The sequence below is a fragment of the Homo sapiens genome, chromosome 4, assembly GCF_000001405.40.
Source record: "Homo sapiens chromosome 4, GRCh38.p14 Primary Assembly".
NCBI lineage: Eukaryota > Metazoa > Chordata > Mammalia > Primates > Hominidae > Homo > Homo sapiens.
In genome coordinates this window covers 10,690,228-10,702,272 of record NC_000004.12, presented here as the reverse complement: position 1 = coordinate 10,702,272, position 12,045 = coordinate 10,690,228, and the positions used below count along the sequence as shown (strand labels likewise).

Below are 12,045 nucleotides of genomic sequence, written 5' to 3'. Positions count from 1 at the left end.
CGTCCTTTCTTCCCTTAGTATCTGGACACCTGTGAGAGCCTCTCAGCTTGTTTCCTTCCTTGCTTCAGGTCTTTACCCACAAATCTGCTCCTGCAAATGACCTCATGGAAAATGGAAATTAGATCATGCCATTCCTGTATGTAAAACATCTTCAATGGCTTCTCATTGTCTTCAGAATAAACTAGGGACGTCTTTACATGCAAGGAGCATGGTAAATATGCTGACCTGTCTAGCCTCACCTCTTGGTTCTCGTGTCTTCACACCTGTGTGCCAAGCGGAAAATCTGCACCCCTGCCATGTCTTCTCAGTGCCTTTGCCTCTGAATAGGCAGCTGTCTCTGCATGGAATGTGCTTCCCACTTCCTCTTGCTGCCTAACCACGCTTTCTCCCACTGACCACTACTGAGATGGTGTGGGATTCCTCTTAAGAGTATGAACTCTGGAGTCTGTCTACCTGGATTTCACTTTAAGTAGAAGTACTTGTACTTGTTTGGCGACCCCATATCACCTCACCTTTCTGTGCCTCAGTTTTCCCGTCTATAAATTGGGGATCATTCATCTACCTCACAGAGTAATTGTAAGGATCAAATGAGCTAATAAATGTGAAGCCTTTTCTATGGTGGCGTGTGGCAAGCACTGTTTAAGTGTTTCTTAGGATCAGTTCCTGCATATTATCAGGTTCCTTCCCAGCTCCTTATGCATATCTCTGCACTTCCATTCACCTAACAACTTGCCTATTTATTTTCAGTATCTCACAGCACAACAGGCTCCTTGAGAAAGGGGACTGCGTTTTATTTTTCCTCCCAGAGTCTAGCACAGGACATGGCAAGGGCTAGGAATTCAGTGAAGGTTTGCAGTAGCAGCAAATAATGCTGGCTTTCAGCTGTGGTCTCGCACACACAGTCTGATAAAGGGGGGTCAGGACACATATGTTTCATGGGGGACCTTCAACCACACTGGCTAAGAGAGAGGCAAGGAAGACAATACTTTTAAGCGGGAGATTTCATTTTACATTCACAGGCAATAGATGCAACCAAGCCTGAAATTGACAATGTCTGCTTGCAAAATCTGTAGCATGAGTTTAAGTATTTCCTTGTCAAAATATTGACAAACAAATGAAACAGCTATATCTCATTCATGGCTAGGAAGGTTGGATGGTGATAGCTCCATGGACATCTTTATGGAAGAATTGGAAGAAGAAGTTGAGGGCTTAGAGATATTTGACTAAGCAAAAGTTAGAGAGCTGGTAAAAGCTTTTACGGGTGCAGACGGTGATCACGATTTTCCAGCAATTTAGTCGTAACAATTTGCTGAAATGTTTCAAGCAGTGAAACAGTTGACTAATTTTATTTTTGAATACAAAACATCTGTGTAATTATATGTGCATCATTTTGTACATGTATAAGATGTACATATATATAATCAATATTGTCATTTCACAACGGCACTTGTGTATTAGTTTGCCATTGTTTACACAAAACCATGTTTCTTTCATTGTATGAAAGACATAGGGATTTTTATAGGTAATTTTCCCCACCCATGCTTGTTAGCAGCTTACAGAAGAATGTAAACTCCTTTACGACCCACCTGCACCAAATAAAGGGTCACGTGGCTTAGAGTCCTGAGGCCTGAGCTCCAGCACGACCACTGCATTTGAGCTGCATAACTAAGAAATCCTTCTCTTTTCTATGTGTTGAGTTTCCTTATCTGCCTTATCTGTAAAATTATAAATGTCACCTACATCACAAGTTGGGTTCTGAGATTTGAATGAGGTAAAGATTTTTGGAAACTGTGAACCCCTGTGAATGTATAATAACAACCCACCTAAGTCTGTCTTGCAAAATAATAAATAATTCCAACATCTCTGTAAAGTCAGCCTGGATATATATTTGGCTTTGGAGTTAGACAGGCTTTGATTCCAAGGTTCACGTTCCTCCTGCTAGCTATTGTTGTAACCACAATGACCTTCAGTTTCTTGTAAAATAATCATATCGCTCCCAAAGCATTTACTGAATAATTCTAATATTGGATGTACTATGTAGCCTATTTCATTTATCCTAATTGTAATTCTCAGTTTCTTTACCCCCAAAGTCAGCATCTTCTTCATCTCATTATGCCTTATTCCATAGCTAGCCATTCTTCCCTTTGTGAAACCTGTTTCTTCTCTGATTTCTATTGAAATGCAAAAACTTCATGAGTGTATCAGGGTTCTCCACACAAACAGAGCCAATAGGAAATATATATATACACACACACACACACACACACATATGCACACACAGTCAGTCCTTTATATCCACAAGTTTCAACCAACCACAGATTAAAAAATATTAGAGGAAAATAACAGTACAACAATGAAAAATAATACCAATAAAAATACAGTATAAGAACTATGTACATAGCATTGATATTGTATTAAGTATTATAAGTAATCTAGAGCTGATTTAAAATATATGGAGTGGCGGGGTGCCGTGGCTCATGCCTATAATTCTAGCACTTTGGGAGGCTGAGGCGGATGGATCATCTGAGGTCAGGAGTTCAAGAGCAGCCTGGCCCACATGGTGAAACCCTATCTCTACTAAAAAATACAAAAATTAGCAGGGTGTGGTGGCAGGCAGCTGTAATCCCAGCTACTTTGGAGGCTGAGGCAGGACAATTGCTTGAACCTGGGAGGTGGAAGTTTCAGTGAGCTGACATGGTGCCACTGTGCTCCAGCCTGGGCAACAAGAGCAAAACCGTCTCAGAAAAAAAAAAAAAAAAATATATATATATATATATAGAGAGAGAGAGAGAGAGAGAGAGAGAGACAGAGAGGATGTACATAGGTTATATACAAATACAATGTCATTTTATGTAAGGGACTTGAACATCCATGGGTTTTTATATCCAATCCTCACAAATAGGAAGGATGACTGTGTGTGTGTGTGTGTATACACACACGTATGTGGTGTGTGTGTATACACGTATGTGGTGTGTGTGTGTATACACGTATGTGGTGTGTGTGTGTGTATACACACATACGTGGTGTGTATGTGTGTGTATACACACACATATGTGGTGTGTATGTGTGTGTTTAAGAGACAGAGAGAGAGAGAAAGAAACGTAAGGAATTGGCTCATACGATCATGGAGGCTGAGAAAGTTCTAGGATCTGCCATCAGCAAGCTAGAGACCCAGGAAACCTGACGTGTAGTTCCAGTGTGTGTTCAAAGGTATGAAAACTGGGAAAGCCAATGGTGTAAGTGCTAGTTCAAAAGTTGGCACCCTTGAGACCAAGAAAGAGTCAACTTTAAGTCTGAGTCTGAAGGCTGGAAAAGACCAATGTCCCCACTCAAGCCGCCATGACAAAAAGAGTTCCCTCCTACTCAGCCATCTTGTTCTGTTTAGGTGTTCAGTCGATCAGATGAGACCTACCCACCTGCAGCAGGGAGAGCAATCTGCTTTACTCACTCACATGTTAATCTCATTCAGAAACACCTGCACAGTAATCCCCAGAATATAGTTTGGCCCAATATCTGGGCACCTCATGGCCCAGTCAAGTTGACACATAAAACTAACTGCTGCAATTAGGGTTCACAAGAGCTCTTTCACTACTTAAGTTGAAAGATGTTCCCTGACCTTTCCTTGAAGATTTTGGTTGGGGGGTGAAAATATCTGAGAAATGTGAGAATTTTGGAAGGAGCTCTATCAAGAGACAGAAGGGACAGGTGGATCTGAGCATGAAAGGAAAAAGCAGAGAGCACCAAGAACAAAATTAGCTTCACAGATTTTCAGAAATATGAACAAACCTGTTTTATATATATTGTCACATTTTATTATTCCAGTAGTCACCCATTTATTTATTTATGTACTCACTTAGCAATTAACATTTACTAAGGGCGTAATAATGGCATGGGTATTTCACCAGGTACAAGGGTCAAAGATTCAACTATAGTATGGACCTTGCCCTCAGAGTGTTCCTGTAAACTTAACCATGTTTATAAATGTATTAAGAATAATGTTTAATAAAACCCTATAATTGCTAGTTTGAAAATTGTCTTTAATGTTATCTAGTGTAAAATCACCACCACCAATGACACCACTCTCACCACCAGAGGCTTCCAATTTACAGACACATGACTATATAGACAAGGAATTTACAAACCACCTCCTGAGTTAATAGTTCATGGATGTTCACCTCTCATAAAGGTCTTAATTCCGAACTACAATCTGCTTATTGCAGCTTTTACCCCCACATACCTACTTATGTTACAGAAATTAACACAAAACGGTCAGCACTTCCATAGACATATATCCTGTTCTGGTCTTCATGGTTCTGTTTGATGATCATGATGATGGAGAGGATGAAGATTAGTATCTACAATTTCTTGGATTCATATTATATGTCATGATTCTTTGATGAGCCTCGTTTTATTCTCACAATTCAAAAAAGCAAAGGCAAGGTGGCTATTGTTCGAATGAGTAGATCAAAATGTAGAAGGATTGGTTACAGTTCAATGTTCCCAGGAGAGTGAAGAGCCAATTTAGGTTTGGGAACCAGTAGGCAGCTTCACCAAGGAGGAGCTAGCAGACAGAAAATTAAAAGCAAATTTATTCTCTACACACCCAGTGGCCGTCCTAAATACAAGAAGAGTCTACTCTGGCATGAGAAGCCATTCTTGTTGGACTGCTGAACTTAGAGAATGAATTATTTGGGAAAGGGGAAGAAGGTGATAATTCTTTTCTCTCTCACACTGTCATCCATCGCCATAATCCTGTTTTCATTGCACTTCTACTTGCAAGGACCACCAGTGGCTTCTTTTGCTCACCAAGGGAGATGATGGACTGGAATTTCCTGGAGACCCTGACCCCAGTTCCAGCAGAGTCTTCCTCATTAAGGCAGTCATGCGGGCTCTTCTAACATTGCTTTAGTTCTCACGAAGCCCCGGCCTGCTCAAGTATTCATGTCTCTGAACTCCGGATGTTAAATGAACCACAGTAAAACTCAGGAATTCCTCATAGGTAACTTTGGGGTGAGAGAAGGCACGGATCCAGTGTCAGTGAGATTGCTGCCTTGAATCTCCATGGTAACCCTGAGTCCAGGTGCACAACTGACTTTTATGAAGGGATTTTAATATTTATTTTGCAATCATGAGTGTCTGGAACCATTCACCTGTGGCAGAAAATGTAGAAAGGTTGAGGGGTGACAGTTGGGTTTGCTATTCATAGCTGGAGATCTTTCAATTGTTCCAAGAAAGAGGACACCAAAAATTGATTATCTAGACTGCATGTTCTCAGACTATAATGTGCATAAGAATCACCAGGAGAATTTGTTTAGAATGCACAGTCCTGCATTTGAAATCCAAAGATTTTAATCAGTGATCTGGGGAAGGGCCCTGGAATCTGCATTTTTAACAAATATCCTGATTGATCCAGAGAGAACACTGTAAACTCAATCTTAGAGGGAGCTTGCCTTGACATGGGTTTCCCAGAAAACAGAACCTAAAGCATTTATGATTGACTACTTCATTTGAGAAGGCAATCCTAGGGAGGCTGGAATGAGGGCAAATGGGAAAGTGGCAGGCTGGGAAGGAGAGCCAACAGGAGGAGAAGACTTTCGGCTATTGAGTGCTTTGTATCATGCCCAAGGAGTGTTCCATTTCACTTTCTTGTGGTGCTCTTCTCCTACAGCCCTTACAGCCCACTGTGTCCTGAGGAGTTTCTCTGGAGGACAAAAGGGCAAAGAGTTTATTGCCAGCTTACATCTTCCAATGTTAAAACCCACAGAGTTTCAGCTCCCCTAGACTGCCGTGTGGTTGGTGCATGAGCCGCAAGCAAGCCCTAAAGCATCTCATGCCTTAGCAGCAATTGGGTTGCTCAGTGCTGCAGCAGGAAGCTTAAGGCGTAGACATCAGGCTGGGTGCTGGCAGGTTGCAAAGTAGACATGGAGCAGATGCAGCAAAGGGGGCAGATGAAGCCCATGTTGAGTGTGTCTGTAGCCAGAGCTAGGTCTAAACAGATGACCTAGGACCAAAGAACGGCAAGGCCAAAAAAGACCTGTGGTGGCACACGAGACCCATCTGATACAGATTCCAGACTCAACCTCATCCTCACGCCATCTACTTAGATAAGAAGCTCTGGGCTGGGTGCAGTGGCTCAAGCCTATAATCCCAGCACTTTGGGAGGCCGAGGTGGGTGGATCAACTGAGGTCAGGAGTTTGAGACTAGCCCGGCCAACAGGGTGAAACCCCATCTCTACTAAAAATACAAAAATTTACCAGGCAGGGTGGTAGGCACCTGTAATCCCAGCTACTCGGGAGGCTGAGGCAGGAGAGTTGCTTGAACCCGGGAGGCAGAGGTTGCAGTGAGCAAAGATCACACCAGTGCACTCCAGCCTGGGCAACAGAGCAAGACCCTGTCAAAAAAAAAAAAAAGCTCTAATTGTGATCGAGGACAAGATGAGATTCTCAAAGACAAGGCAGGGGAATTGAATGCTCTATAGGGGTAATAAATGAAACTCTGAGCTGGAAATGCCTCTCCTCTTCCGTCTTCATTATGCTTACCTCTGTACAAAATAGCCTGGTGCACCATGTACTTGGAAAGCTGACCTTGACCAGGCTGTGGGGATATGGAAGCAAACTCCAAGAATATGACTCAGAAGAGAGGGTTTCATCCCCCTTCTCATAACTTGCTTCTGTTATCATAAGATCTGGGAGGCCCTGACGGGCCAGGACAGGGTTAAAGAGAAGCAGGCACAGAGAGGGCCACTGAGTTTAGCTTGAGAGAAAAGGAGAAGCATGGAAGGGCTTGGAGTTGGCCAGGGATGAGCTAGTTAAAGCACAGACCCAGCTGCTTTCTGATTTTATAACATTCAAGCTTTCACAGCTTCAATCTCCTTCCTTTTATTCATTTTTTATTTTTAGTTGACAAATAATAATTGTCAACTAAATTATAAATTGAGAAATAATAATTCTCAATTAAATAATAATTGTCCATATATTTAAGGAGTACAATGTGAGGTTATGGCACATGTATACATTGTGGAATGATTAAATCATGCAAATTAACAAATCCATCAACTCACATACTTATCCTTTCTTTGTGATGGAAACATTTAGAATGTATTCTGTTAGCAATTTTGAAATATACAATACATTACTCTTAACTATAGTTATCATGCTTACTAGAACTGACTCCTCCTGTCTAACTGAAACTTTGTATCCTGTGATCAATATCTCCCCTTTCCCAGTCCACTCCTCCATCCCTGCCAGGCCTCTGTCAATCACCATGCTACTCTCTACTTCCGTGAGTTCATTGCATGATTATTCACAGTAGGCAAGATATGGAAATAACTTGACTGCCCATCAACAGATAAATGGATAAATGGAACACTATTTAGGGTTAGAAAAGAACATTCTATCTTTGCAACAACATGAGTGAAGCTGGAGGACATAAGGCTAAGTGAAATAAGCCAGGTACAGAAGGACAAATGCTGCATGATCTCCTTCTTTTTAAATGGAAATCATGCCCACCCTGAGAAATGTTGGTAGTATATACCACCATAACATAATACAGTCATGAGTCACTAAGTGACTCGGGTGAGTTCTAAGAAATGCATCGTTAGGTGATTTCATAGTTGTGCAAACATTGTAGAGTGTATTTACACAAACCTAGGAAACAATAGCCTCCTGCACAACTAGATTATATGGTATAGTTTATTGTTCCTAGGCTACAAACCTGTACAGCATGTTACTGCACTGGATATGGTAGGAAATCACAACATAATAGTATTCGTGTATCTAAACTTATCCAACATGAAAAAGGTACAGTAAAATTATGGTGTTATAACTTTGTGGGACCTTCGTTGTATATACAGTCCATCATTGACTAAAACAGCCTTAGGCAGTGCATGACTGTGCATGCACAGTTCCTGGGTCTAAGCCCATCCCCAGCCACTGTGTGTGAGTGCCCTTGTTCCTTACCTTCAGGCTCAAGGTGTCTAAAGGTGTGAATACTAAGCTGAAGGCCCATACTTGGTCCCACCTGGCCGGATAGAAATTAAATAGAATTTGGGAATCTAGTATGAATCAGCAAAAGAGGCGGTATATTTGGCTGTACTTATGTCATTGGTGCTTCTGCTGCTGAAAAGACTGACGTGGCAATTGTAGGATCCTCAGGGGTGATTTAGGGACAGGGCCTAGGAATGGTTTCCTCGCCTCTACCACCACCAATAGCAAACGCTGAAGAAGCTGGTACACCATCTCCAGAAGATACGACAGTCTTTTTGTTGAAAAGCCTAGAATATTTGACTGCATTATCTCAAGTGCTATTTAAACAAATTATAGCTGCTATTCATAGGATTTCTGGCCACTGGAGCTGCAAAATGGTTTCAAACTGCGATCTCCTCACTCTGCAACACATGGTTATGGTCCATATGCATCCCTAAGAAATCTCAGATCCTTAATTTGAGATCACATTTATTAAAAACAATTGTTTCACTGTGGATTAAAAGGGATAGGGAACTAGAAATGTGTACTCTTCAGGCATAAATGTTGTTTTTCTATAGGAATTTTCAAAGCAATGATGCATCAGAGTTGTAAATGTATGGCTCTGTATCAGGCACTTAGGGCTGCTGGAACAAGTGCCACCAACTGGGTGGTTTACAACAACAGAAGTGAGTCCTCTCAGGGTTCTGGAGGCCAGAGTCCTAAATCAAGGTGTGGGCAGGGCTGTGCTCCCTCCCAAGCATCTAGGGGAGGACACTTCCTTGCCCCTTTCAGCTTCTGGCAGCCCTAGGCATTCCTTGGCTTGTGGCCACATACCTCCAATATCTGCCTCTGTCTTCCCATGGCTGTCTTCTCCCTGTGTGTCTCTGTTTCTTCAAATGGGGTTCTCTTTTCTGTACAGCTCTCTTCTTTTTTAAGGGTGCGAGTTATCTTGGCTAAGGACTACCCCAGTGATTTCATCTTAACTTGATTACATCTGCAAAGACCCTTTTTCCAAATAAGGTCACATTCTAATGTAACTGGGAGTTAAGACTCCAACATATTTCTTTAGGAGAGTCTTTTCTCCCATCAGCAACATCAGAATCACTTCACATTGCTTTTACACCTAAGAATCCCTTTTACATTCATTGTTACCAGGCTCCTTATACAAGGCTCAAGGATAACCAAATAAAACAGCTATCTTGCAAGTCCAGCTGGTTCCCGAATGGCCCAGAATCAGTGCTTCTTCCCCAGCTGAAGTGCGTTACAGATACACTAACCAGCCTATCATGAAAATTATGTCCCCAGATTGATCAGCATACATGCTCAATCCACATAAAACAATCTCTCAATGCAGGAGCCATACCTTGATCTAAGACTTAGTATGGACCAGTTTGGCTTAATGGTCAAATTATATGGCATAAATTGGGAAGTCTGTTTAACCCTTTCTTTTCCTCTTTTCCATCTGCTAATCTACAAGGCTGAGCAAGTGCTCTTGTAGGTGCTGGGAGGAGAGCATAAACAATACAGATAAATCCCAAGCCTCACGGAGGTTTTATCATTCCTTTATTAATATTCACTGAGCACCTACTATGTGGCTGAGAATATTCTACATGTTAGATTTCAAGTGAGACAAAACCCCACTCTCACGTAGCATGCATTTTGAAAACGTTTCCTTGTTTTCTCATTATTGTGCCTTAGAATTCTTTCCTCCACATTTTGCATTTGTATAATCTCCTTCTTAGGATCTTAGTCTGTCATAAAATATTTTGAGAATTTTCCATGAGTGGATCTGACCATTAGGGAGCCACGTTGCCACTCAAAACCCCAGTCTCAGAGCGTTCGCGTTCAAGGAGACCATGAAGCTGTGCAAAGAAGTTCAGGCTTAGAACCTGAGTCACGGGATCACCAACTGCTGCCTGTGAATGCGGCCCTCACTTTCAACTTTGCTATATCTCTGTTAAAATACTGGCAAGGGCAAGTGATCTGAGGGTTAAAGATCTGAGCCTGTCCTTGCCCAGTAGTTTATGAGCTGTAGGATCCAGGCACGACTTGGAACTTAACCTCTTTGTGTCTCAAAACATTATGCTGAGGAGTTTGTACATTGTAGACTAAACTTCAAATAAAGGAAAACAAAGTACAGGAAAATGTTGGAAAAAGCGTCAGTTACTCTATTTATACCAGCTATTATTATTTCTACTTGCCTTAAAGAGAGGGAAGTGATTCTGGTTCCTTTCTCATTCTTTCTAGAAAAGAAAAGAAAAAAAAAACATTTAAAAAGAGAGAGGCAGGGAGAGAGAATGAGAAAGTTGAAAAGTCCTGTCCCTGTAAAAAAGTCAAAGATCTAATTTTATTTCAAGTGTTGAAATTGGCTTCATTTCTCTTATCTTCTATTCTAGGAGTCTCCTTGTCCCACCCATAGATTAATAATCACATGTACTAATAAGAAGCTCATCAAGAGATTCCTCGGCGGTGTTTCATGCTGTTTTTTTCTTTCCTAATCTGATTCTTGCTTCAAGGCCTAAATTCAACCAGTTTGAGGACAGATGGTATGGGGCCCTTTGTCCTGCCAATTTGGAGACCCTGGAAACAATTTAGCCTCTGCACAGGGAATAATTTTGCCAGCATGATTTAAAAATACTACAGTGTTTTTAACCTTGGGGAAAAGTATCCGGCAAATAACCCAAAGCAGTTTTTTTTTTTTGCTGTTATGGATAATGTCACACTCCCAGCCAGATTTGTCTAAACAAGGCTCTGCTCAAGATAAATTGCTAGCAATGGATGCCATTTAAATGTAGAATTGAGAAACATAGCTATGCTGAGCTGGAAAAAGATTTGGAACTTACGTCTCTGTCTTGGTTCTTTTCCCTACTCACCTTGGTGGCCAGTCACTTCACCTAGTTAGGACTCCACCTTCTCATTTGAAAATGTGAGGATTAGACTATCATCATTTCAGTTCAACTATTGCTGGGTGATACAAGGTGGGTCCTTAGTATTGCAATGGATTCCAAGATGAGAAATAACTGTGGCCACCCTCAAGGAGTTTGTAATTTATTAATACATATTATGCCCCCATATTATACATATTATGTATACCCCAATACATATTAAAACTTATATATATGTATATCCCAATACCTATTAATGCATATTAGACCCCCAAAGCTAATTCTTCCTTGGAACTTCTCATGGGTTTCCTCTACTTGGAAATCTCTCCCCTCCAGAGCTTCACGTGGCTGGGTCTTTTTCATTACTTAGACCTCAGCTCAAACTTCACCTCTGCAGAGATGCAGACTTAGACCTCCATATATAAAGTTCCCACCCCACACTCTTCATTTCATTATCCTGTTTCATTCTTTTGTTGCACTGCACTTTCTCTTACACATTTATTTATTACTGGTGTTTCACCAGGTACAGTAGCCTCTGCCTCTACCTGCTCCCATGGCCTCCGTAGAACAGAGCTACCAATGTTCTGAGAGCCCTTATGGTGCCAAAGCTGAAAGGGGACTCATGGAGACAGTGGGACATGAATGAATCTCTCACCAGTGTTGTGAGAACTTGGTGACTCCGAGACTGGTATAGTCAAAAGTATAACAGCGATAATGATACTAACACAGAGGCGTTATTGTAATGATTAAATTATGCATTTATGCAAAGTGCCTAGCACAATTATAGCATATATTGAGGTCTTAATTAATGTTAGCCTCATGAGGTCCTTCTGGGGAAAAGTAGTGTGAGCTCAGCAATGAATTTGTAATTAATGGATATTTATTAATTGATAAACTTCTATCTTTTTTTAAAGAAGAATTGGGAGAGGTAAAGAAACCATGCCAGAGATTTTCAAAAACAGCTCTTTCTACATTCACATACCACTTCTGCTTCTGTGGTTTCCAAAGAACTTAGACACGAATGCAACAAAACGAGGCTAGGAAATCAATACAAAGTCAGAAACCGTGTTATCCTCAAAATGCCCCTTTGCCTCTGCCGGATGAGCTCTTATACTGAGCCCTGGATTTACCCATGTTGGGTTCTTCTGTCCTGTGGGATGGTTTAGTCAGGGTGGTTGGGCCAGGAAGCAGGGCC

At 41.4% G+C, this 12,045-nt stretch overlaps 1 protein-coding gene across 2 annotated transcripts in view, besides 2 other annotated features; it reads left to right on the top strand.

Moving 5' to 3' along the window:
* Positions 1–12,045, top strand: part of CLNK (cytokine dependent hematopoietic cell linker) — a 248,452-nt gene that overhangs the window by 32,574 nt on the left and 203,833 nt on the right. The gene's annotated exons all lie outside the window — the stretch shown is intronic.
* Positions 11,819–11,918: an enhancer, noted in NCBI's record as "active region_21318". NCBI's record gives its function as "activates an Ori minimal core promoter by ATAC-STARR-seq in GM12878 lymphoblastoid cells {active_cell/tissue: GM12878}" and the evidence as "EXISTENCE:reporter gene assay evidence [ECO:0000049][PMID:35858748]".
* Positions 11,959–12,008: an enhancer, noted in NCBI's record as "active region_21317". NCBI's record gives its function as "activates an Ori minimal core promoter by ATAC-STARR-seq in GM12878 lymphoblastoid cells {active_cell/tissue: GM12878}" and the evidence as "EXISTENCE:reporter gene assay evidence [ECO:0000049][PMID:35858748]".